Source organism: Homo sapiens, chromosome 5 (assembly GCF_000001405.40).
Source record: "Homo sapiens chromosome 5, GRCh38.p14 Primary Assembly".
NCBI classification, from domain to species: Eukaryota; Metazoa; Chordata; class Mammalia; order Primates; family Hominidae; genus Homo; species Homo sapiens.
The window spans coordinates 96165078-96191865 of NC_000005.10; the positions used below are offsets into that span (position 1 = coordinate 96165078).

Below are 26788 nucleotides of genomic sequence, written 5' to 3' on the forward strand. Positions count from 1 at the left end.
AGGAGGAAGTGAGGCCTCCGAGAGCGGTCAGATAAGTGGGGGACAGGAGGGGAGAATGCAGCAGTGGAATCTGACATGACACCTCGGCAGATTCCTTAGTCTTTTTTTTTCCCACTAGCTAAAATGACAGTGTCTTTGGGGCCTTGAAAAGAGAAGACAAATGGAATAGAGAAGGGGGATAGAGCTGGAGCCTTAGCCACAGCTGAGCTGAGTGCCTTTTTTTATTAGGGAGGATATATGTGTGCAGAGGGGTAGATAGACTAAGGATGGAGTTTAAACCAGAAAAGTCCATGTGGAAAAGTATTAAGAACTTTAAAGAGTTGCAAAACATAAGAATCCACTGTATTTGTGCTTTTAGAAAGTACTGGGGTATAATTTCTTCTTTTTCCCTGCTGAATAACTACCCAATGGTATGTTGGTAAAGAAAAAAAATGCATATATATACATACACACATAACTTTATTATAAACTTTTCTGATATAAAGAAGGTATATCATGCTATTTACAAGTAACAACATATATAATATTCTTTATTGGAAATTCCTTATAATCAATTGATTCTCACAGACTGCTTTTATTGATTTTTGCCAGGCTTCTATATTCATAGCCAAACTGTGGTTGCATTTGATGAAAGTGTTCTGACATGAACATCACCTGTATTTTCATTTATGTTAACAAATAAAATAAAAGTGAATCAATAAAGACATCTGTTAGAACTTCATTCATTTATCAGTGATGTGAATGACTTCTTTGCCGAACTAGAAAATAATTTTTGAAAACTGGAGGAATATTTACTAAGGTTTCTTCTTAAAGTTATTCACAGTATAACAGCTACAAGTAGGACACACTTTCACATTTAATTTACATTAATTATTTTTCATTTTCATTATCCATTTCATTAATCATTATCCATTATTAACATTTCATCACTTTCTTAGTCTAGACAATGAACAAAACAATAAATCAAGTCCTGCTTGGTAGCTTTTGCCAATATCTGTGAGATGAGTTCTTCCACATGGCGCTCCTGAGTCTTCAGCTGGGAAGTGGTGGCCAGCAGCATGCCAGTCCACAGTGTTTCCCCCCTGCAGATAAAACAGATGTGAATAAACTCAAGAGCACAGACCACAGTAAATGTAGTAAAATAATTAGGAAATGATGTTTTAAGTAGGTAGTACCTTTATTTTAATTTTCTGATAATTTAATACCTTCATTTTAAATATCATTAATATAGTTGCAAGTTTATCTAACTTAATTTTTAATAACAGAAGTATTTAACAACAGGTTTGCAAAATTCCTGAAAATTTAACAGTCAGCCCTCATGGGCCAGAATGAGCCTACTTCAGCACACCAATGCATCTGCCCATCCCTGCAGCAGTGTGTGTGCCCTTCAGCTCACATCTCGGTTTCTGTGTCCCAGGATACAGAAACACCATCCAGGGACCATCACAGCAAATAACTGATTTAAGTGCTCCAGGTAGCTTTTCTTATTAAATAAAGCTTCCCAGCTATAATCATATTTAATGATTGAATTTATAATTATGTTTATTTTGAAAAAATTTGGAGAAAAATGTCTAATGAATATACAAATCTAGATAATCAATTGAAGCATAGCCTTGGCAATCATGAGGTTCATTTGAATAGCACACCCAAGAAGCTGGATCATACAGGACCCAAACTTCCTATCCTCACTCATGAATTCAGATTTCCAAGAAATTAATAGACATAATTTTGGGTGTTATATAGTAGTCCATGTCTTCTTATATTAATAAGAAAAATAAAACAAAATAGTGGTAAAGTGTTGGGGTGGTGAAAATGTTTGGAGAGATAAGGGGCGATGCTTCTCAGGGCTGCTTCCAGTGGGATTACGAGCGGCTTGGGAACCTAGAGTGGGAGAGATTAAGCTGAAGGAAGGTTTTGTGGTAAGGGGCGATATTGTGGGGTTGTTGGAAGAAACATTTGTCATACAGAATTATTGGTGATGGCCTGGATACGGTTTTGTATGAATTGAAAACCTAAAAGGAATAAGAGAAGGAGAGAAACAGGTATTAAAGTACTAAGAATTGGGAGGACCCAGGACATCCAATTAGAGTGCCCAAGGAGCTTCAGCATAGCCCTGCCAGCAAAGATTATTTATTTACTTTAAGAGTTAAGAGTGCTGGTTTGGGGATAGCACTGGGAGATATCAGCTGTGATGGCTTGGAGAAACAGTGTAAACCGGCAGTGTAAACAAGAGCAGGGCATTTATGTGTAGTTGAGAATGGTGAATAGGTGTATGACTAGACAGAAGATAGTAGGGATGACAAGTTTTTTGGGGCGCAGTCCAAGTTGGTCTGGTGTCTGGGATGAGACTGGGGCCTAATAAAAAGGAGTGTCCATGCAGGAGCTCAAATGGGCTGTACCCTGTAGCATTCCAAGGACAGGCCCGAATTCTGAGAAGGGCAAGTGGTAAAAGTATTGTCCAGTCCTCTTTAAGTTGGTGGCTGAGCTTGGTGAGGTGTGTTTTTAAAAGACCATTAGTTCACTGAATACCAAGAGCCTGAAAAACTGCTTGGGTGATTTGACTAATAAAGGTTGGTCCATTATCAGACTGTATAGAGGTGGGAAGGCCAAACTGAGGAATTCTGTCTGACAGAAGGGAAGAAATGACGGCGGTGGCCTTCTCAGACCCTGTGGGAAAGGCCTCTACCCATCCAGTGAAAGTGTCTACCCAGACCAAGAGGTATTTTAGTTTCCTAACTCGAGGCATGTGAGTAAAGTCAATTTGCCGGTCCTGGGCGGGGCCAAATGCCCGAGCTTCATGTGTAGGGAAGTGGGTGGGGGGGCCTGAACAATCCCTGAGGAGTAGTAGAATAGCAGATGGAACACTGAGAAGTGATTTCCTTAAGGATAGATTTCCACCATGGGAAGGAAATGAGAGGTTCTAAGAGGTGGGCTAGTGGCTTGTAACTTACATAGAAGAAGTTATGAAATGATGACAGAATAGAATGGGCCTGTGAGGCTGGAAGGAGATATTTTCCTTGGTCCAAGAACCATTTGCCTTGTGTGAGAAGAGATTGATAGGTGGAAGTTTCAGTGGGGGAGTAGGTGGGAGTGGCCAGATGAGAAGGAGAAAAACTGCCATGAGGGATAGAAGTTGGAACGCTAGCTGCTTTTAGCTACCTTATCAGCGTAAGCATTGTCCTGAGCAATGGGATCTGATGCCTTTTGATGGCCCTTGCAGTGAATGACTCCAGCTTCCTTTGGAAGTAAATTGGCCTTGAGAAGTGTTTTTATTAAAGAGGCATTAATGATGGAGGACCCTTGTGTAGTGAGGAAACCTCTTTCTGCCTATACAACAGCATGGTGGTGCAGGACATAGAAGGCATATTTAGAGTCAGTATAAATATTGACGCGTAATTCCTTTGCAAGAGTGAGGGCTTGAGTTGAGGCAATGAGTTCAGCTTGCTAAGAGGTAGTGGAGCGGGGCAGAGCGGTAGCCTCAATGATAGATGTGGAAGATACTATAGCATAGCTTGCCTTTGCTGGTGAGTGGCGATTAGGCCTGGTGGAACTGCCATCAATAATCCAAATGTGATCAGGGTGAGAAACAGGAAAGAAGGAAATATGGGGAAATGGGGTGAATGTCAGGTGGATTAGAGAGATACAGTCATGGGGGTCAGGTGTGGTATCCGGAATAATGTGTGAGGCTCGATTAAAGTCCGGGCCAGGAACAATGGTAATTGTGGGAGACTCAACAAAGAGTGAGTATAGCTGAAGGAGCTGGGAAGCAAAAAGTATATGTGTCAGGTGGGAGGAAGAAAATAGATTTTGAAAGTTATGAGAATTGTAGAGAGTTAATTGAGCATAGTTTGTGATTTTGAGGGCCTCTAAAAGTATTAAGGAGCAGCAGCCACCACACGCAGACATGAGGGCTAGGCTAAAACAGTAAGGTCAAGTTGTTTGCATAAAAAGGCTACAGGGCGCGGTCCCGGCTCTTGTGTAAGAATTCTGACTGCACTAACCATACCTAGGAAGGAAAGGAGTTGTTGTTTTGTAGAAGGGATTGGGGTTTGGGAGATTAGCCGGACACGAGCAGCAGGGAGAGCACGTGTGTTTTTATGAGAATTATGCCGAGATAGGTAACAGATGAGGATGAAATTTGGGCTTGACTGAGATAATGGGGGCTGTCTGTGAAGCCTTGCAGCAGTACAGCCCAGGTAATTTGCTGAGCCTGATGGGTGTCAGGGTCAGTCCAACTGAAAGCGAAGAGAGGCTGGGATGAAGGGTGCAAAGGAATAGTAAAGAAAGCATGTTTGGGATCCAGAACAGAATAATGGGTTGTGGAGGGAGGTATTGAGGATAGGAGAGTATATGGGTTTGGCACCATGGGGTGGGTAGGCAAAACAATTTGGTTGATAAGGTGCAGATCCTGAACTAACTTGTAAGACTTGTCCGGTTTTTGGACAGGTAAAATGGGGGAATTGTAAGGAGAGTTTATAGGTTTTAGAAGCCCATGCTGTAGCAGGCGAGTGATAACAGGCTTTAATCCTTTTAAAGCGTGCTGTGGGATGGGATATTGGCGTTGAGTGGGGTAAGGGTGATTAGGTTTTAATGGGATGGTAAGGGGTGCATGATCGGTCACCAAGGAGGGAATAGAGGTGTGCTATATTTGTGGTTTAAGTTGGGGAGATACAAGGGGAGGATGTCAAGGAGGCTTTGAATTGGTGAAAAAGGAGACAATGAGGTGTGGCTGTAGCCCAGGAATAGTCAGGGAAGCAGATAATTTAGTTAAAATGTTTTGACCTAATAAGGGAGCTGGGCAGGTGGGGATAATTAAAAGGAGTGCTTAAAAGAGTATTGTCTAAGTTGGCACCAGAGTTGGGGAGTTTTAAGAGGTTTAGAAGCCTGGCCGTCAATACCCACAACAGTTATGGAGGCAAAGGAACAAGGCCCTTGAAAAGAAGGTAATGTGGAGTGGGTAGCCTCTGTATTGATTAAGAAGGGTATGGACTTACCCTCCACTGTGAGAGTTACCCAAAGCTTGGCGTCCGTGATGGTCTAGGGGGCTTCCGAGGCAATCGGGCAGCATCGGTCTTCAGCCGCTAAGCCGAGTAAATCTGGGAAGGAGTCAGTCAGAGAGCCTTGGGCCAGAGTTCCAGGGGCTCTGGGAGTGGCTGCCAGGTGAGTTGAACAGTGGGGTCCTGCACAGATGGGACACGACTTAGGAGGAATCCCGGGCTGCCGGCATTCCTTGGCCCAGTGGCCAGATTTCTGGCACTTGTAGCAAGCTGCGGGAGGAGGTTCTGGAGGAACCCCTGGCAGCTGTGGTTCAGGCGTTTGGAGTTCTTGTGTGCTGGAGATGTGGCTGGGGTTTGTCTCACAGTGGAGGCAAGGAATTGCAACTCAGAAATACATTGCTACTTGGCTGCCTCAACTGTATTATTGTATACCTTGAAAGCGAGGTTAATTAAGTGCTATTATGGGGTTTGAGGGCTGGAATTTAATTTTTGGAGCTTTATTTAATGTCGGGAGCGGATTGGGTAACAAAGTGCATATTGAGACTAAAACGGCCTTCTGACCTTTCAGGGTCTAGGGCTGTAAAGCGTCTCAGGGTTGCTGCCAAACGAACCATGAACTGGGCTGGGTTTTTCATATTTGATGAGAAAGAGCCTAAACGCTAACTGATTTGGGAGAGGTTGGATAAAGGAAAAGGAGCATTAACCTTGACTATACCTTTAGCTCCAGCCACCTTTTTAAGAGGAAATTGCTGGGCAGGTGGGAGAGGGCTAGTTGCGGAACGAAACTGTAAGCCAGACTGGGTGTGAGGAGGAGAGGTGATAAAAGGATTATAGGGTGGAGGAGCAGAGGCTGAGGAAGAATTGGAACCTGGCTCGGCCTGGCGAGGAGCAGCCTGGGGAGGAGGGGAGAGGTCAGATGGGTCCGTAGAAAAGGAAGATTGGAGACTCCGCGACGCTTGGGGTTGGGACTGAGGGGACAGGTGGGAGGGAAAGAAGCAAGATTTGGGATGAGCTGCATTGGGAACAGAGACTAGGGAGGGACCAATGTGTAAAACAATGCCTGGACGTCAGGCACCTTAGCCCGTTTGCCTATTTTACGACAAGAATTATTTAGGTCTTGTAGGATGGAGAAATCGAAAGTGCCATTTTCTGGCCATTTAGGGCCATTGTCAAGTTTGTATTGGGGCCAAGCGGTGTTGCAGAAGAAAATAAGGCATTTAGGTTTTAGGTCAGGTGTGAGTTGAAGAGGTTTTAAGTTTTTGAGAACACAGGCTAAGGGAGAAGAAGGAGGAATGGAGGGTGGAAGGTTGCCCATAGTGAAGGAGGCAAGCCCAGAGAAAAGAGAGGGTAGAGACATGGAGAGAAGGGGTGGGGAGCAGCCAAAGCAGGCGTCCCTGCAATTGACTTGCCACCAAGGGAATGTGGGTGAATGACCAAGGCAGGCGTCCCGGCGGTGATCAGACACCAATGAAACGTGGGTGAATAATCAGGCAGGTGTCCCTGCATAATTAAACACCAAGGGAAGACTGTCTTCCCAAGTCCGTGACCAGCGCCAGAGTTTTGGGTCCATGGATAAAATGTGTCTCCTTTGTCTTTACCAGAAAATGAAGGAACTGAAATTAAGAGAAGGCAGAGATTGAAGTGTGGCGCCAAGATTGAAAGGAGAAAGAGGTTGAGGGATAGAAAGAGAGGTTGGAGAAGAGAATAAAAAGAGGGTGCTTACCCGATTTAAAATTGGTGAGATGTTCCTTGGGCTGGTTGGTCTGAGGACCAGAGGTCGTAAGTAGATCTTTCTCACGGAGCAAAGAGCAGGAGGACAGGGGATTGATCTCCCAAGGGAGGTCCCCACCCCCCCACGCCCCTGATCCGAGTCACGGCACCAAATTTCGGGACCAAATTTCACTCACATCCGTGTGAAGAGACCGCCAAACAGGCTTTGTGTGAGCAATAAAGCTTTTTAATCACCTGGGTGCAGGCAGGCTGAGTCTCAAAAGAGAGTCAGTGAAGGGAGATGGGGTGGGGCTGTTTTATAGGATTTGGGTAGGTAAAGGAAAATTACAGTCAAAGGGGGTTGTTCTCTGGCTGGCAGGGGCGGGGATCACAAGGTGCTCAGTTGGGGAGCCTTTGAGCCAGGATGAGCCAGGGGAAGGAATTTCACAAGGTAATGTCATCAGTTAAGGCAGGGACTGGCCATTTTCACTTCTTTTGTGGTGGAATGTCATCAGTTAAGGCAGGAACAGGCCATTTTCACTTCTTTTGTGATTCTTCAGTTACTTCAGCCATCTGGATGTATACGTGCAGGTCACAGGGGATATGATGGCTTAGCTTGGGTTCAGAAGCCTGACAGTCCAGACCATTGGGATTATTGAATATAACATTCTAGATTATTCAGTAGTGATTTCAAATATACATGGTATATGGCAATATGCAATTGTAATAATATGCAGTTTGTCTAAAGTGTGAATAACTTTCCGCAAAAGAAGGCCAGCTGCTACTTCTAGTGTTGGAGGTATGTGGAAAGGTTCCAGGAAGTGGCCTTTGTACATGTCTTAAATATTTCAGAATAAATTAAAAGACAGAGGGAGAACAATAATTCTTAGATATATGAGTCAGTTTTCTGAGTTGCAAACAGATCCCTCTCTAGTTAGTTTAAACAGAAAATAAATTTATTGTAGGATATCATGTAGTTTATAGATCCTCTAGGAGAGCCAGAACATTGAGCTTAGAGGCCATGCTTCCAGGAACAACGCTTAAATGACACTACTGATTGCTCTAGCAAAAGCCTCACTCCCACCATTTCTGGACACAGATACCATAACTTCCACTGCTGAGTCTGGTCAATGGATGCCAAGATTTCTACCATGGCTGCCCCCAAATTTTGGGCACATATGCCACTATGCTCATGAGAAAATAAATGTTAGGTGGTTCCTGGTAATGAAGCCACAGTATTCTCTTACAAGTCCATGTTGCATATGGGTATTTCTTATTGTTAGATCTACATCCTACCTCTGGCATAGATACCGACTGGCTGGGAAGGTGAATTTCCAACTTCTGCTTTGTGGCGGCTTGACTACAAAGGCTGAGACTCCCCAAACATGGGAAAGATGTTCAAAATATTCTGGGTGACCACAAAAAGCAACTAAGATCTACTGCACTGGAACTAGAAAAAGTGAGATGTTAAATTGGATATAATGTTTCATGTAAAGGAGCAGGAACTCTATGCCATCATATTATTTGCAGTTGTGAGACTTTGCAAGAGTCCGGGGTATAGTCCTCATAACTATCAAATATTTTTGTACTCTGACATATAATGTAAACAATTTGCAAAAAGTACACAAAGAACTGTCATCAGAATAATGGTACTTACAAGGAGCTTAATTGAAACTTGAAAGTTTAACATTTGGAGCAAAATACATAATAGAGTAACCCAATTGGAATACCCTCATGTAGTAATACCAGAAATTCTGAAAAATGTAAATAAACAGATAGATGTTATGACAGTATCTAAAGGATTGGTAACTATTTGGTACATGTGGTAGTAATTTACATTATATCGAGGTTTTCTTATAACTTCCTCTTTTGAACATAAAACATTCTGTTTGATGTTTGGGGTATTATTTTTATCATTATATTAGCTTAGGAATCTGAATCTCAGATAAATGAACTTTTTTTTTTCTTTTTTTTTTGTGAGACGGAGTCTCTGTCGCCCAGGCTGGAATGCAGTGGCGCCATCTCGGCTCACTGCAAGCTCCGCCTCACGGGTTCACACCATTCTCCTGCCTCAGCCTCCCGACTAGGTGGGACTAGGTGGCGCCCGCCACCACGCCCGGCTAATTTTTTTGTATTTTTAGTAGACACGGGGTTTTCCCGTGTTAGCCAGGATGGTCTCGATCACCTGACCGTGTGATCCTCCCGCCTTAGACTTCCGAAGTGCTGGGATTACAGGTGTGAGCCACCGCGCCCGGCCTGAACTTATTTTTTAAGTCATCTACTTGTTAAGTGACACATGAGTCTTGAACCCAGAGTTTTCACTTTTAATTTCATGAAGATAAAGAATCTGAGGAAGGTCCTCCTATCAAGCACAACATGGAGGAAGCTGTGCAAAGAGATGTTGAGATTCCCAGGAGCCTCTTTGGGCTGCCCAAACTTGCCAGTTTCCTTCTTTCTGGTTGTCTGGTCCATTTCCATTAAGGGAATTCCAGTTCTGATTCTTCTTGGGCCACACTTCTAGTTCAAGTTACTGCTATGAAGGATATTCTCCAATTTTCACAATTAGTCCATGAAACAATCATTAGACAGATATTTGTTGAGTAGCTGTGAACAAGGTCCTGCGCTGGGCGCTGCAATCATTCTTCCACTCCTCCGCAGACAGGAGGAGTTCGCCCTCTTGCTTATGTGGGGAAGGAAAGTCCAGTCAGAATCCTCTGTATGACAAGTCTACCACTAGTTGGATGATAAAGGTTTAATGTGCAGACACAGATTACAATTTTAGTTTTATAGGTTTCCCTCCTTGGTTAGAATTAGTAGTTTAATATTGGCACTGTTTTTTTGTTCTACTTTGTTTTAAGAATTTTTAGAAATGATACAGTTGTATACTCTCTCTTTCTAGCTTCTGGCTCATGATTTGTAATCTTGTTAATGTCTTTTCTAACCAATCAAAATAAGTAAAAATGTGTTTTTATAGTAGTGTTGCCATAGAATTAATGAGGCCTAACCATGTACAATCTCTGTGTGATTGGTCCCCAAAATAGTATTTGTGTGGTATTCTAACATTTCAGCAAATAATATATTTAAAGGTTTTCTTTTCAATCTTTAATGAAATCAAAAGCTTTCCTCCTCAATCTTTTTGTATTCATTTCAGATTTATCTAGGCAAACTGATATTAATAATTTTTATCAAGGTAATAGGTATACAATACTTTTTACTAGATTTTCTAATATATATGAAAACATATTTAACTTCAGATTTTTTAAACTAATCCAGAAGAAAAGCAACTGAAGTTTTTAAATTTAGAAGACATAGATTTTTCTTATTTTTATTATTGGTATTCTAATAGTATACTAAGAAAATGTAATATAAGCTACTTATAAAATAGTACATGCAATTAAATGAAGTCAGTGTACTACACTATAATAGTTTGTCATTGGACAGAACTCATCAGTTGGCCGGTTAGTACATGTGAATTTTGCATGAAGTACAAGGGACTTTCAGTTCTGGGCAACCAGTGCCAGTGAAAGTACCCTACTGGCCAAGATGGAAATTACTTTGATTTTGAGGTTCCTTGTTTCACATGCATTAAAAAAAATTATCGAGTATCTACTGAATGCCAAGGACTCATTTAGGCTCTGGAGGTATAAAGAACTAAATAAGACAAACAAGATCCCTGCTGTTATAGAAACTATTATTTAGTATGGAGAATTGAAAATAAACTAGTAAACACATAAATGATTGAGAGCATCTCAAAGAGATAGACATGTAATTTAGATGGTAAACAGGGCAATGGGCTATAAATTAATTGGGGTAACTTTACACAACGTTGGTCAGTGATGTCCTTTCTAAAAGCGTGACGTTGTTGCTGTGACCTGAATGACATGAAGCAACTATCTATGGAACAATGTGTGTTAGTGTTTCACATGGATGCCATGCATGTTTTTGTTTTAGTGGTTAGACTAGAGTGATGCTTCCACTCAGTGAGATAGAGCAGTATGTTTAAATATGTGTTAGTTTGCTCAAACTTTTGTGATGCTTTTCTAATACATCCTGGTTATTTTTCTTAAATATTCCTATTCCAGCACTAAGAGTACAGAGTTAATTCCTTTATGAGGTCCTGTTTGAAGTGCAACTGCTGATGTATAATTTCACAAACATCATTCCGCCTCTAGTAATGTTATTTCCTTGCAGCAATAATAGTCCAAGTGGGTAAGTGCTACCATAGCGGAAATTACAGGGAGCTAAGGGCTCGTCTAGCTCTATTTTGGAGGCTAGGTAAGGCTTTCTGAAATAAGAGGTTTCTAAACTGTGATCTGAAGGACAAAGAGAATTTTCCCAGGCCCAGGGAATAGGAGGACAAGACAGAAAAGTCTTCTACACAGAGGAACATGTGCAAAGGCCTTCGGAGAGAGAGAGAATGTGGTACATTTGGGGAACTGCCAATAATTTGCATTTGGCTGAAGTGTATAGTTCAAGAGATAAAGTGATAAAAGAGAAGGCAGTCTAGAGAAAGGAGCAGGAGCTGATTACAGATAAGCTTTGCTGAAGATTTTAGGCTGAGGAAAAGGACAACTTTTATTCATTAATTCAGCAAAACTTTATGAAGTGCCTTATGTGCTATGCACTGTTTTAGGCACTGGGAATACATCAGTGAACAGACAGAAGTCCCCACCTTCATTCTGTCTACATTCTAGGGGGCAAGGTAGATAGCAAACTAAGAAATTCTTAGGTAAGATGCCAAGTTTTTGAGGATTTTTGAGTTTGATGCAATATGGAAGCAATTTTTCAACTGGTAACACTTGAGAAGTCACAGGTTAACACCAAAGAATATGTATATTTTTGACAATGCCACTTGAGATTTTGGCATACTTTCACTTTTCTGAGTGAAACTAAACTAAAAGTTTGTCAGTCACAAGGACTGGCTTTTCTTTCTTCCTGAGCCCCTTCTGATAAGGACCTTTTCATAACCCTGTATCGCATGAGTTCTCAATGGTGTTAATTAAATTAGTAGAGCAGTAAATTGGTAGTGAGGCTGCTACTGCTTTCTTAAATAATTTGGAGCTCAATGGAATTACATTGTTTTGCAGAGATTCTTTAATAATGTGCCTTTAAGCTTAGGACTGCATCATCTAAATTTCTCTGTCATAGAACTTTTTGGAAATTGTACCAAACTGGGAGTATATGCTATTATAATACTTAAGAATTCAAATAACTTTTCATGTCTTAATGCATTTGCCCTAAAGTAAGAGTTGGTCACACATGTGAGTTGAATCTAAGAAGTTTAGTTTTGTGATTGAGCAAATTTATTATTATGATTATTATTATTAATTTTAGAGATGGTGAAATTATCCCTCATTAAAAAATCTACTCTGCACTTTACCAACGGAGTAGATTTTGCTGAAGTGCTAACAGATTGCTCTAAAGATACATTCCAAATTACCACCAACTTCCTATTTTGGGAAAAAAAGAAAGGAATCCAGTTTTAAGCCTCTGTCTCTTTAAAACAAAATGCGAGGTGGTGAACTATGTGGCACTTTTGATTATATGTTGAAACCACACTAAGTCCCTGAAATCCAAGAGAATATTGTACTCTGGTCCTTTGTGCAGAATGCTCACATGAGTGCTTACAGGAACCAATCCAGAAGCAAATTGCTGCTGATAGTAACTGACAGCATGAATTACTGCATTTTCAGAGACTCTGCCAGGATCAACCCGTATGATCTCACTTTTGCTCATATAGCAAGCTGAATATGTGCATGTGCTAGAACAAGCCTCCCAAGTTCAGGGAATGGCAAGGTCTCTCAGCAGTTTGAAAATAGCCAGCACCTTTGAAATGAATCACTGTGGCATCTAGTCAGCTCATACTTATAAAACCGGTTTTTCTTTGGTTAATTTCTGACCTTAAGCATGTAAAATCTCTTAGAAAAAGGAGGAACTGATTCATCTGTTTATTTGTCATGTGAAAACCAGACAAGTCAATGAGTGCTGAGGACAACATCAATTTCTCCTTAGCAAGCCGAGCTGCTTCTGGTTCTGCAACTCACTCTGGTCCGTTTGGAGACGTTTTGCAGCTAGTGATTCCCCTGTTGATTCTTAACAACTTTCAGAAATCTTCCTGTAATTTTGAACAAATAAGAACATTGAAGGAAGAACTGTACTCTTCGCTAGAAATACTCAATTGACATAAAATATATCTGATGGAAAATGCTCTAAAAATGAATTCATATTTTGTATACCAACACAACCAAGATCACTAAAATATAATTCAAACATGAGAAGAACTCATCTCAAATATACATATCTGGACATAAAAGTAGGAACTGGAAACATTTGTCCAAAAGATGAAACCATAGATTCAATATCCACAACCACAACCCAAGATCAGTCTCAAGATTTCTTCCATTATTTCAGGACATTATAAAACTCACCTAAATAGTAATAAAATTGCAGGGGAATCTGCATGATTTAATGCCTTTGCCCATCATTAGCAATGTAATCTAGTATTTCTGGGAAAACATAGACCTTCTGAGGTCTTTAACTCTGTTCTTGGCAGACAAAAAGCCTTCCAGGTCATCTTTAAAGACATATTTATTTTTAATTCTTAGGTCTACACATGTTTTCTGTTAATAAGTTGGAATCTTAAGATTGTATTCACTTCTTTATTTATTTTAAAAAATACTCAGTTCTCCTGAAACAATGGTGCCTTTGAAAATGAGGGGGCTAATAGAATAGAAGAAAAAAAAAGAAGCCTTTCCTTCTTTGTTCCATGTTTTGCTTTCTCTAGAAGGGGTGATGGGCTCTAGTCTTTGCAGGATATTTCTCAGTGAGTTAGCACTGCTCTAATGGTGGCCTTTGAGAGAAAGAGGAAAAGTGGGAGAGCCTTGTTTGTTATGGGGGAGCACTGGCTGGTTGAAGACAATCTGAAGGGGAGGTTTTTATCTTGGAGAGCCCTTCCTGGGGAAAATCAGAGGTGGAGATAGACAATCCCAGCATGGTACATGGGATAATATGATGGAGTAATGGGTGCATAGATGAGAGAGCACTTATCTCTCAACTTGGACATTTTACAGGCCTATTTATACGGGCCTCATTCAACAGGTTCAAACTCAACTGATTACTTCTTGCTCCTCCTTCTGTGTTCCTGATCTCAATGAAGCCCCATCTTCCATCCCAGCAAGAAGAGAGAGAAACTTAGGGGTTCCCTCTTGACTCTCTTTTGCCCTTGTACACCAATCAGTCACGAAGACCTGTCAATTATAACTCATTTATCTCTCTCAAGTTCTCAAATTTCATCTTCTTCTCATACTAAATACATATATGTCCTCTCCTTTACAAATAAGCCTGCTAACTGCCCCATCCTTGGTCTCTCCAATCTGATCTCTATCTACACTGTCTAAAACACACATATGACCATCTCATTCTTTTACTTAAAAGGCTCTCCATTGCGTTCAGGAAAAAAATAAAATCAAAACTCCCTTAAATGGAATATTTACCTCTCAATGAATATTCCCTGTCCTACCCTTGCTTCATCACAGGTTTTGTCTTGAATGCCCTCTCTCTGTCCTTTCTTCTCCTGGATAATTCCTACTTATCTTTCACATTTTGATTCAGCTATTACCTCCTCCTGGAAGACTTCCCCAAACCTCTTCCTGACCCTCATCACAAAAGGTTCCCAGTGTCCCTTGTTTTGACCACTGTGCTAATACATCATGTATCTTGAGGGCAAGTGCAGGGTTTTCATTGTTTCCAACTCAGCAGCTAGCATAGTGCCTGGCACATTGTAGATGAATGAATATGGGGATTAATCAGACAAAGTGACACAGAGAAGGCGGAGTTGTGCTGACTCACACTTGAGGGAGGAATAGGACAAAGCAGAGAGGGGTATTTAAGGCAGAGGGAGCATGTGCAGGAGCACGAGAGCACTTGTCACGTTGAGAGAACGTTACACGGTTTAGAACTGGTAGAGTGTAGGCCGGGCGCGGTGGCTCACACCTGTAATCCCAGCACTTTGGGAGGCCGAGGCGGGTGGATCACGAGGTCAGGAGATCGAGACCATCCTGGCTAACACGGTGGAACCTCATCTCTACTAAAAATACAAAAAAATTAGCCAGGCGTGGTGGCGGGTGCCATAGTCCCAGCTACTCCAGAGGCTGAGGCAGGAGAATGGCAGGAACCCGGGAGGTGGAGCTTGCAGTGAGCTGAGATTGCAGCCTGGGAGACAGAGCGAGACTCCATCTCAAAAAGAAAAAAAAAAGAACTGCTAGAGCGTAAAAGGTGAGATACAGACATCTGTGGCATGAGACATGTTCAGGAGTTGCACATTTGTTGTAATCTGAGGCCAGCTTTTCTCAAAGGTCAGAGAGGCTTCCTGAGGCTCTCAGTATAGTTACGAATGATGAAATGTCCAAGCAGGATTATACCATGTGTGATAATCTTATACACTTACATTTAACAAATTAGCCCCTTTGACAGAAAAGTTACAATGCATTTTAATTTTGTTATTTATGGGAAATTATAGGATTTACATAAGAATATTTGTTCATAGTACACCAGGGGAGGTGTGATCAGAAAGTGTGAAACAAGCTTAAAGTTGTGAGATAAATGTCTTCTTAAAATATTGTAAGCATATCTCTGGGACCATATGTAGAGCCTCCTCGTGAGGTACTATGAAAGTTTAACTTTGAGAACATCAGCTGAGAACCAAATGGTCCTTCACATTCTCAGTCCCTTGTTTTCCACAACAATCATATGAAAACATTTTCATTTTAACTGCTTAGAAAATGGACAAAGAAATAAAATGTTAAAACGAGAAAAGGGGAAATTTGAAAAATAAGAACAGAAAGGGAAAGACACATGGAAAAATGTTTAGAAAAATGATTAAAATTAGGGTGGTAAATACTTTTTAAAAATAAAGTAAGGCATATTCACAATTTCAAGTAAAATAGGTCAGTAGCTCAATGGAAATATTTAATTACTGTAGTTGAGGGAAATTGTCTAGCTGTGATTTCTTCATGTAAACAGTGGATGCAAGAACAAGCAAACCAAGCTTGGAGCAACTCAGTGAGCAAATACACTTCCCTGATCTGCTGGAAGGCTCAGCAAGGTGTAATTCATCCTCCAGAGTGTTGTGAAAGTTTAAACTGCATCTAGAACCAAATCCCCAAACAAAATGATCAATTTATTTAAGATAATCCTACATGCTAATATATAGATCTCCATACAGAGCTATTATTGAGTACTTTTCTTTTCCTTTTTCTTATTTTTTAAACCATTTTATGGCAGATATTTTTTCTTCTGGCTATCAGAAAGGAAGTCATGGGATGTCTCAGAATATTCACAACAGGAAACATGCTTACATTTATAAAATGAGCACGTTGTTATTTCTCCATTCCCTGATAGAATGACTTCAGCTCTTCATTTGGACTAAAATTTTCCAGATTACTTTTAGTTCCTGATTCAATTTTGTTAGAAAAGTACAAAATTTATATATCAGGATTTTTCTCCCTCAGGAGTCACTGCAATCTTCCTTCCCGGGGTGTGGTCAAATCCTGGGGAGATTCCAGATTCTGTGCATCAAAGCACAGCATCTTTGACCTTTGCCTCATGTTCTGCATCCTTCCTGGGGCTGCTGTCACTTTCTGAGTTAGACTTGGGACACGGAGCATCAAATGGTCTTGGAGAGCCACAGTTAACCTTCCAAACAGGTTAGCAAAATTTGCAAACCACTGTTGGCCATTTTTTCTCTCCATTGCGTAGCTGTGACTCAGGTCTTTGCTTCTCAGAAGGAGACAACCGAGGTGCAGATAAATGGAGCATCACAGTAACTCAGGGGTAGAAACAGATTTAGGAAGAACACAGCTTCTTAACTTTTGCTTCTGTGTTTTAATTTTCATTTTTCACAATATTTGGTTTATGGTTATTTCTTCATTAGGGGAACTAGGGGAAATACCATTTTATACTTTAAGTGTACTTTATATACAAATAACTGAAAAAAATGGCCAAACTTGTAATATTTTATTTCTAGTTAGATGCATAAATATGCAGACATTAAAATAGATGAGTTAGAGGTTATTATAACATCAATTTTGTTATATAAACATACCGAGGAAGATTAGAAGTAGTGGTTCCATTTATTACTTTTTAATCAACTGGAAAGCCTCAGTGGCACCAGTTTTCAAAACAGCATTTTTCTCATTTCTATAAAATGGATAAGGACAATAAGAGCTATGTTAAATTCTTCTGCGTAACAGTCAAATAAAATACTCATGATTTAAAAATGTCTTTCATATTTAGTATGTATCTTTAACTTCTTCAGTGAGGGTCTTAATATTTATCTTGAAATACTTTATAAGTTTCTGTCTCTTTTCTCTTCCTGATATGTACTCCATGTTTTAGGTCCCTGCAAATAGCCCTCTGGGTTAGAAGTTGCTTCCAGAATTCCTGGGGTGTCTGCTAGTTAACCCGTTTGATGTCTGTGGGGCATTGTTGGGAAGGCATTTGGTGATTTGAACTTGAGATCCTTGGCTGGTGGAGAAGTCCTTACTTGGGCTTGGAATTTGGGCCTGGAGTAAGGCATGAGTTTCCCCTTTGGAACCCTCCTATGAGTTGGAGTAAAGCAAGAAGGAAAAGAAGTATTCTTCTCTGAACAGGTTTTTGCTATCAGCTAGGATTTAATTACAGTGCGAGGTGGGTGTAAAGAAACACCTTTAATCGTGGAGTCTACTTTGGGGAAAGATGAATTGATTTTAAATCAAGTGTAGGTAAAAGTTTGTATCCATCCAAATGATGGTATTATATGTCAGACTTACCATATAAATATCAGATATAATGTGTGACATACAAAGATTGATGCAGAATTCCATTACAATATAGTATTAATTCATTTATTTATTCAACAAATATGTATTGGGTATATTCTATAAGCCAGATACTGTGATAGATGCTGAAGAACTCCTAAGCAAACACAACAGTCTACTTTTCTTCCATTTCTAATTTTTTTATTTTTTACTTTTTGCGGGTGTTTGTTGCAGCACTGTTTATAATACAGTCTACTTTAATAATACAAGGTTTCTGGCCGGGCATGGTGGCTTACGCCTGTAATCCCACCACTTTGGGAGGCCGAGGCGGGCGGATCTCGAGGTCAGGAGATCGAGACCATCCTGGCTAACACAGTGAAACTCCGTCTCTACTAAAATTACAAAATAATTAGCCGGGCGTGGTGGCAGGCGCCTGTAGTCCCAGCTCCTCGGGAGGCTGAGGCAGGAGAATGGCGTGAACCCGGGAGGCGGAGCTTGCAGTGAGCCGAGATCGCGCGCCACTGCACTCCAGCCTGGGTGACAGAACAAGACTCTGTCTCAAAAGAAAAAAAATAAATAAAATAATAATAATAATAATAATAATAATAATAATAATACAATGTTTCTGAATGTGCAATGTTAAGAAAAAGCAAGATAGTACATATTTTAAAAACATTTCCTATGTTTGCTTTGATGAAGCAAAAATTATACATTGGTATGTAATTTGCTATTTACCAGTTTCCTGGCTACTTTATCTGACAGATTAAAAAATTATTAAAAATGTTATTTAAAAGTTTAAATAATGTCATAATTAAAATAGTTTGAAAAGAAATATGTTGTATTTTGGGAGCCAATATATTTTGTCCAAGTAGAAAAGATCTTAAGAAAAAGAGATCCCTTAAAAGCTATTTGGAATTTTTTTCAGAAACACTGGTAATTCTAGATCTATTACCAATAACAATTTATTATGAAGCATTACTTCTTTTTTATTATCTTTGATTTTTTTTTCCACATATTTATTTCGGCATAGTATTATCCAGAAGAAAGAGCTTCGGGACTTGCATTCAAAAACTTGGTTTAAGTTCAGAGTTTGCTCTTTGTGGTAGTGTAATTTTGGGGAGTCGCATTTACCCTCTTTTGGCCTTGTTTCTTCATCTGTAAAATGATACAATGGGACATATTGAATAATTGTCAAAGTCCCTTCCAATTTTAACATTCCCTTGTTCTTTAATCTTCTAGATTTGAGGGTGGAATGTAGGCACATGGACATGAACATTATGTTGAAATATGCTATTAAAAACATAAACAACCCAGAATTTTGGATTTAGCTGGAGTTATGAATTAGTTCTGGTTGCTTATACCACAATATCATATAGACTTCTGTCCACTGCTAGATTTATACTTTACTGATTCATATTTTCCAAAGAAAAATGCATATGTATAGGTAAGTGAGGCATTTAGAATGAGGGTAGCATTTAATCACAGAAATTCAGGACCATCCCAAATTATACATACTGACATTGTCTTTGGCCAGGATAGGTACAGCCCAGACAATGATGCTCTCAGATTAAGTCCCAAATCACAACTGCATCACAGCACTGCAGACATCCTGTTGACTCAAGACCCAGGATCCCAACTCATTTTTGACACCTCCTTATTTAGTCTTTCCTGATATCTTCCTAAGTTGGAAGCACTCTCTTACTTCTTTATGCTCCAGTTCACTTATTCAGTCTGGCACTAAAATAAACTACATACAACTCTCTTTTCTTTTTTCTTCAACTTTGATTTTAAGTTCAAGGGTACATATGCAGGATGTGCTATTTTGTTATATAGGTAAGTTCGTGCCACGGTGGTTTGCTGCACAGATCATCCCATCACCTAGGTATGAAGCCCAGCATGCATTAGCTGTTCTTCCTGACACTCTCCCTGACACCACCCCAACAGGCCCCAGTGTGTGTTGTTCCTGCCCATGTGTCCATGTGTTCTCATCATTCAGCTCCTACTTATAAGTGAGAATGTGTGGTGTTTGGTTTTCTCTTCCTGTGTTAGTTTGCTGAGGGTAATGGCTTCCAAATCCATCCATGTCTCTGCAAAGGACATGATCTTATTCTTTTTTATGGCTGCATAGTATTCCATGGTGTATATGTACCACATTTTCTTTATCCATTCTATCATTAATGGACATTTAGGTTGATTCCATGCCTTTGCTATTGTGAATAGTGCTGCAGTAAACATATGCATGCATGTATCTTTATAACAGAATGATATATATTCTTTTGGATATATACCCAGTAATGTGATTGCTAGGTCAAATGGTATTTCTGCCTCTAGGTTTTTGAGGAATCACCACACTGTCTTCCACAATAGCTGAATTAATTTACACTTCCACCAACAGCATAACTGCATTCCTTTTTCTCCACAACCTCACCAACATCTGTTTTTTGACTTTTTAATAATCGCCATTCTGACTGGCATGAGATAGTATCTCATTGTGGTTTTGATTTGTATTTCTCTATCAGTGATGTTGAGCTTTTTCCATATTATTATTGGCCACGTGTATGTCTTCTTTTGAGAAGTTTCTGTTCATGTCCTTTGCCCACTTTTTAATGGAGTTGTTTGTTTTTTTCTTGTAAATTTGTTTAAGTTCCTTGTAGACTCTGGATATTAGACCTTCGTCAGATGAATACATTGTAAAAATTTTGTCTTATTCTGTAGGTTGTCTGTTCACTTTCATGATAGTTTATTTTGCTGTGCAGAAGCTCTTTAGTTGATTTGTATCCCATTTGTCAATTTTTGCTTTTGTTGCAATTGCTTTTGCTGTTTTCGTTATGAAATCTTTGCCCATGCCTATGTCCTGAATGATATTGCCTAGATTTTCTTCAAGGGTTTTTGTAGTTTTGGGTTTTACATTGAAGTCTTTAAGTCATCTTGAGTTAATTTTTGTATATGGCATAAGGAAGGGGTCCAGTTTCAATTTTCTGCATATGGCTAGCCAGCACTCTTAGCACCATTTATTAAATAGGGAGTCCTTTCTCCATTGCATGTTTTTGTCAAGTTTGTTAAACATCACATGGTTGTAGGTGTGTGGTCTTATTTCTGAGTTCTCTATTCTGATCAATTGGTCTATGTGTCTGTTCTTGTACCAGTGCCATGCTGTTTTGGTTACTGCACCCTTGTAGTATAGTTTGAAGTTGGGTAGCATGATTCCTCCAGATTTGTTCTTTTTGCTTAGGGTTGTCTTGGCTATTTGGGCTCTTTTTTGGTTCCATATGAATTTTAAATTTTTTTTTTTGTAGTTCTGTGAAGAATGCTAATGGTAGTTTAAAGGGAATTGAATTGAATATATAAATTACTTGAAGCAGTATGGCCATTTTCAACATATTGATTCCTCCTATTCATGAGCATGAAATGTTTCTTCATTTGATTGTGTCCTGTCTGATTTCTTTGTGCAGTGGTTTATAGTTATCCTTTAAAAGGTCCTTCACTTCCCATGTTAGCTGTATTCATAGATATTTTATTCTTTTTGTAGCAATTGTGAATGGGAATTCATTCATGATTTGGCTTTCTGCTTGTCTGTTGTTGGTGTATAGGAATGTTAGTGATTTTTGCACATTGATTTTATATTCTGAGATTTTGAAGTTGCTTATCAGCTTAAGAAGCTTTTGGGCTGAGACAATGGGGTTTTCTAGATATAGGATCATGTCATCTGCAAACAAAGATAATTTGACTTCCTCCCTTCCTGTTTGAATACCCTTCATTTCTTTCTTCTGTCTGATTGCCCTGGCCAGAACTTCCAATACTACATTGGGTAGGAGTGGTGAGACAGGGCATCCTTGTCTTGTGCCAGTTTTCAAGGGGAATGCTTCCAGTTTTTGCACATTCAGTATGATATTGGCTGTGGGTTTGTCGTATATGACTCTTATTATTTTGATGTGTGTTCCTTCAATACCTAGTTTATTGAGAGTTTTTAACATGAAGAGATGTTGAATTTTATCAAAAGCTTTTTCTGCATCTATTGAGATAATTATGTGGTTTTTGACTTCAGTTCTGTTTATATGATGAGTCACATTTATTGATTTGTGTTTATTTTGAACCAATCTTGCATCCTGAGGATGAAGCCTACTTGATCATGGTTGATAAGCTTTTTGATGTGCTGGTACGTTTGGTTTGCCAGTATTCGTTGACGATTTTTGCATTGATGTTCATCAAGGATATTCGCCTGAAGCTTTCTTTTTTTGTTGTATCTCTGCCACGTTTTGGTATTAGGATGGTGCTGGCTTTACAGAATGAGTTAGGGAGGAGTCCCTCCTTTTCAATTATTTGGAATAGTATCAGTAGAAATGGTACTAGCTCTTATTTGTACATCCGGTAGAATTCAGCTGTGAATCCTTCTGGTCCTGGGCTTCGTTTTGTTGGTAGGATATTTATTACTGCCTCAATTTCAGAACTCGTTATTGGTCAGTTCAGGGATTCAGTTTCTTCCTGTTTCAGTCTTGGGAGGCTGTATGTGTCCAGGAGTTTATTCATTTCTTCTAGATTTTCTAATTTGTGTGCATAGAGGTGCTTATAGTATTCTCTAATAGTTGTTTGTATTTCTGTGGGATCAGTGGTGATATCCCCCGTATCATTTTTGGTTGTGTTTATTTGATTCTTCTCTCTTTTCTTCTTTATTAGTCTAGCTAGAAGTCTATTCTATTAATTTTTTTAAAAAAAACAGCTCCTGATTTGTTGATTTTTGAAGGGTTTTTCATGTCTCTGTCTCCTTCAGTTCAGCTCTGATCTTGGTTATTTCTTATCTTCTATAGCTTCAGGGTTTGTTTTCTCTCGGTTCTCTAGTTCTTCTAGTTGTGATGTTAGGTTGTTAACTTGAGATCTTTCTAGCTTTTTGATGTGGGCATTTAGTGCTATAAATTTTCTTCTTAACACTGCTTTAGCTGTGTCGCAGGGATTCTGGTACATTGTCTCTTTGGTCTCATTAGTTTCAAAGAACTTCTTGTTTTCTATCTTAATTTCATTGTTTACCCAAGAGTCATTCAGTAGCAGGAACAACTCTCTCTTGCTCAATGGTTTGTAAGCTCCCTGAGAGAAGGACTGTGACTTGTTTATCTTTGTATTTCCCCTAGTGCCTTGCACAAAGTGGGCACTCAGAAATTTTTGTTGAAGTAAATAGTTCAATAGTCGAGGCTACCGAGCTTAAAAACAGCTACGTAAATGTTATGTTTTAGCTCTTCAACTCCCAGTGCAAGGATAGAGCTTTCTTGACTGACTGTGGTGATGGTAGAATGACTACCTGTGAGCAGTCCCATCTCTACTGAGCTGTGGGAATCTTAGCAGCTTAGTTAAGCTGAAAACAAATATTTGCCTAGGATTCTGGGAGGGGACTTCACATGCCTTTGTAGTTACCCAAGGGATGGCATCACCTTTGGTCAGCCCACTCAGTGAGCCACTCACCCACCTGGGACTGCCACATTCTCCCACAGAACCTGGATATGGGTCCTATTATTTCATTTCATCATTCATTACTTGCTGTCTATATAGGTCTAAGCCTTTTTATTACACAAAATGATGCTAACCTGAAGAGAGATTGAGACACTAAATACAAAACCATCTATAGAAAGATTAGTTTATAGGAAGATTATAGAAAGATTATCTATAAAAATATTTAGTAGTAAAATATACTGTTTTCTGCCCTTTTTGCAAATCTCATTCTCCTGAGTTAAAATCATTTTTAATTTTTTCCAATGGATCTTTCCATAAATTTGGTAATAAGTTATATTATTATTTCTTGATTAGTCCACTTTAAATATGAGTGATGATTTTCTTCTCTAAATGTTGTGGATTTAACCTATTGAAACACTACTCAACTTTTTTCCCATTCTTTCTCCCAATGTTTGATATTATGTTATTAATTTTAGTTTTTCTTTGTTTTTGGTTGTAACTTTTTCTATGTCTGTGATAATTGTCTATCCCATTTCTTGTTTCCTCAACTTTAGATATATCTGTTGAGTGAATACCATGTAAGATGGTAATAATAAAACCTGTGTCTTTCCCTCCCCCCTTTAATATCCATCAGCTATACCTTTTCTTTCACATTTTACATTTTATTCTGAAAATGTTATTAAATTTTCTATAATTGATTTTTAAAGCCAATGAAATTTGTTTTTTACCTTCAGAACTGTATAAGTATTGAGTACTGTGGAGTTGAAGAAGGTGCTAGATTATACTTTCTTTTCATGGTTTTAATGTTATAACACTGATAAATAGTGTGTTTATCATCAAAGTCAAATAAATTGTCTTTTATTACACTTTTTAAAAGGTGTATCACATTTTTATTGCTTCATATTTAGAACTTATGTTTTTGTACACTAAATTTTAATTTCCATTTCTTTTTCTGGTTGAGAGAAGAAACATAGCTTCTTCACTCTATCACTGAAATGTTTCAGATTTGTGCTCATTTTCTCAGTTAAAGACTCAGTATATTTTATCAACAATCTTCTCATAGCCTGCTGATTTTCTATTTTAATTTGGATGTTGCTTCTATGTCTGCTATGAACCATTACCCTGGGATTTCTTTTTATTTTCTTTTTGGATTTTTCCACTGTTTCCTATATCCCGCATCTTCATCTTTCTTGGTTTTCGCCTTTGCTTTGTTGAAGTATGTTTGCAAGTAATTTCATCAGAGAGGATTTGGTGAGGGGGAGGGCTAGGTGGATAATGGTCCTTTTTCTTTGTTCCTGAAAATTATTTTGCTTGTCCTCAGATTTGATTGCTATTTGGCTGGGGATATACTTCCTGGTTCAAAAACTTTCCCCTCAGAGCACTGATGATATTGCTCCAGTGCCCTCTTGTCTTTATTCCTCAATATATGTCTAAATATCAGTTCCTTTAAATTCATCCTGCTGAGCAAATATTCAGTGGCCTTTTCAGTTTGATAGCTTATGTCTTCCTTCAGCTTTGAGATATTTTCTTCCTTTTTGCAAAAAAGTAATTTACTTTCCTCTATTTTCTCTGTTTGCTTTCTGGGACCCCTATTGGTTGAGCATTGAACTTTGTGGATTGATACTTTATGATTCTTATCTTCTCTGTCATCTGTTTCATCTTTTTGTGTTTCCTTTCCATGTTCTGAGACACTTTTTATTTTACTGCTTTTTTATAAATTTTTGATTTTTGCATTGGAAAAAACTTTTAACAGCTAGTTTTTATTGTTCTCTATCACATTTTTATAGATTCATGTTTTTGTTTTTAACATTATTTAAAAACTCACAAGGAGTCAAATTCGAATTGTTTAGTTTAAGTTTTCTCCTATTCTTGCATGTTTACTATATTATCCTGGGTCAACTGCTCTTGTTTTTATCTTGATCTTTCTCTTTAATGCTATTGGTATTCCTCGTATGTCTGGTAGTCCTTGCTTATCAGTTCTTATTTTAGAATAAATGTTTAGATTGATTATTCCAAGTTGGGGGTATTATTTTTCTTGGCTGCTTGATAGGTAGTTTCTTTCTCCAGCTTGCTCTGCCCTGAATTGAAGATTCTTTGTATGCAGGAAGGGCTTAGTATGCAGAATTTGCACTGGGGGATTGAGGGGCAGCCAGGGTGGGGCTGGGGAACTAGGCCTGTCTCTAGTAGCCTGTACTTTTTTCAGGCAGCTCATTCAGTATCTTTAGGTGCCTGCGCTGGTTTTATCCTGCAAAGTGAATGCTGGGCTTCCTTTTATTCTGCATCAGAAGTCCTGGGGTATGTTCAGTGTGTGTGAGTGGGGAAGGGAGATCAGAAAGTGTAGGTTCTTTAATGAAGGACATTGAGTGACACCCTGTCTTCACTCTCCCTGACTCTGCCTGCCCACTCTGTGCCAAGAACCTTCCACAGAGTTCCCACTGGGGAATTAGGCGCCATCTTTGCTGTGGCCCCTTCTGCTGTCTCTGCTGCAGCCTCCCATACTCCATTTCACATGTCCGCAGGATTCTATCTGTGTTCTATTCCTTGGTATTTGTTGATTCATCTCTCTTCTTTTTGCTGTTAAGGCCTCATTCCCCTTTGAATTTCTTTATTGTCTTTTTGCGGCAACCTGTGTCCTCAGCTCACCATCTTTTAAAATTTATTTTTGGCAGTGTAATCCTTCATAGGTTTATTATTTTCATCCTTAATTTTTAATTTCAACCTTTTTTTAAATTCAGGATTTACATGTGCAGGTTTATTACTTAAGTATATTGCATGATGCTGAGGTTTGGGTACGGATGGATGATCCTGTCACCCAGGTACTGAGCATGGTATCTGCTAGTTTTTCAACCCTTGTCCCTTCCTTCCTCTCTCCTCTAGTAGTCCCCAGTGTCTATTGTTGCCATCTTCATGTCAATGAGTACCTAATATTGAGCTCCCACTTATAAATGACAGTATGGGGTATTTGGTTTTCTGTTCCTGTATTAATTCGCTTAGGATAATGGCCTCCAGCTGCAACCATGTTGTTTCAAAGGATATGATTTCATTCTTTTTATATGGCTGCACAGTAGTCCATGGAGCTTACCATCTTGAACTAGAACTCCTTTCCCATATTTGTGCTGTGGGATGCTGGCTTCCAGTTTGCTGAGTATTTTAGCATGTGCTAAAGGAAATTATTCTTGGAAAAGAGGAATGGGATTCTACAAGACTGTAAGAAATAGTACCTTCTGTATCTCAGCATAAGCAGAAAAACTACCATGGCCTGAGGCACTTTTGACTATATGTCCCAATATTAACAGACACTTGAGGTTACTTATATGCCAGGCATTGTTCTAAGTACTTTACATATATTAATTCATTCAGTCCTAACAATAACAGTAAAAGGAAAGTACTAATAATTGTCCCCATTTTACAGTTGAGTAAAAAGATAAGAGACTTGCCTGAAAGGTTAAATGACTCATAAGTAAAATAGCCAAGATTCAAATTTCATCTCCAGAGACTAAGCTTTTAGCCTCTCTGCTACATTGCTTCCCATAATTATGTCACTAGCAAATAAACTGTGAGGATATAATAAAGATGGAGTATCAAATAATAGCTGAGATGGAGTCTCGCTCTGTCACCAGGCTCACTGCAACCTCTGCCTCCCAGGTTCAAGCGACTCTTCTCCCTCAGTCTCCCGAGTAGCTGGGACTGCAGGCGCACGCCACCACACCCAGCTAATTTTTGTATTTTTAGTAGAGATGGGGTTTCACCATGTTGGCCAGGATGGTCTCAATCTCTTGACCTCAGGATGTGCCCACCTCGGCCTCCCAAAGTGCTGGGATTACAGGCGTGTGCCACTGGGCCCAG

General features: G+C 39.3%; 1 protein-coding gene and 2 long non-coding RNA genes across 15 annotated transcripts in view, besides 1 other annotated feature; 2 read left to right on the forward strand and 1 right to left on the reverse strand.

Annotated features, from left to right (window-relative positions):
- The window catches only part of CAST (calpastatin), an 813255-nt gene that overhangs the window by 203649 nt on the left and 582818 nt on the right, over window positions 1-26788 (forward strand). The window lies entirely within an intron of this gene.
- The window catches only part of LOC101929710 (uncharacterized), a 669085-nt gene that overhangs the window by 203077 nt on the left and 439220 nt on the right, over window positions 1-26788 (forward strand). The gene's annotated exons all lie outside the window — the stretch shown is intronic.
- On the reverse strand, window positions 443-5180 carry LOC105379675 (uncharacterized). The gene is made up of 2 exons (XR_001742452.2): window positions 4995-5180; window positions 443-1082 (listed from the first exon to the last, which is right to left on the reverse strand). It is a non-coding gene; the product is annotated as an uncharacterized LOC105379675 (long non-coding RNA).
- Window positions 2938-3483: an enhancer, noted in NCBI's record as "OCT4-NANOG hESC enhancer chr5:95503719-95504264 (GRCh37/hg19 assembly coordinates)". NCBI's record gives its function as "activates a minimal SCP1, AML or CMV promoter by ChIP-STARR-seq in primed H9 embryonic stem cells {active_cell/tissue: H9 hESC(primed)}" and the evidence as "EXISTENCE:reporter gene assay evidence [ECO:0000049][PMID:30033119]".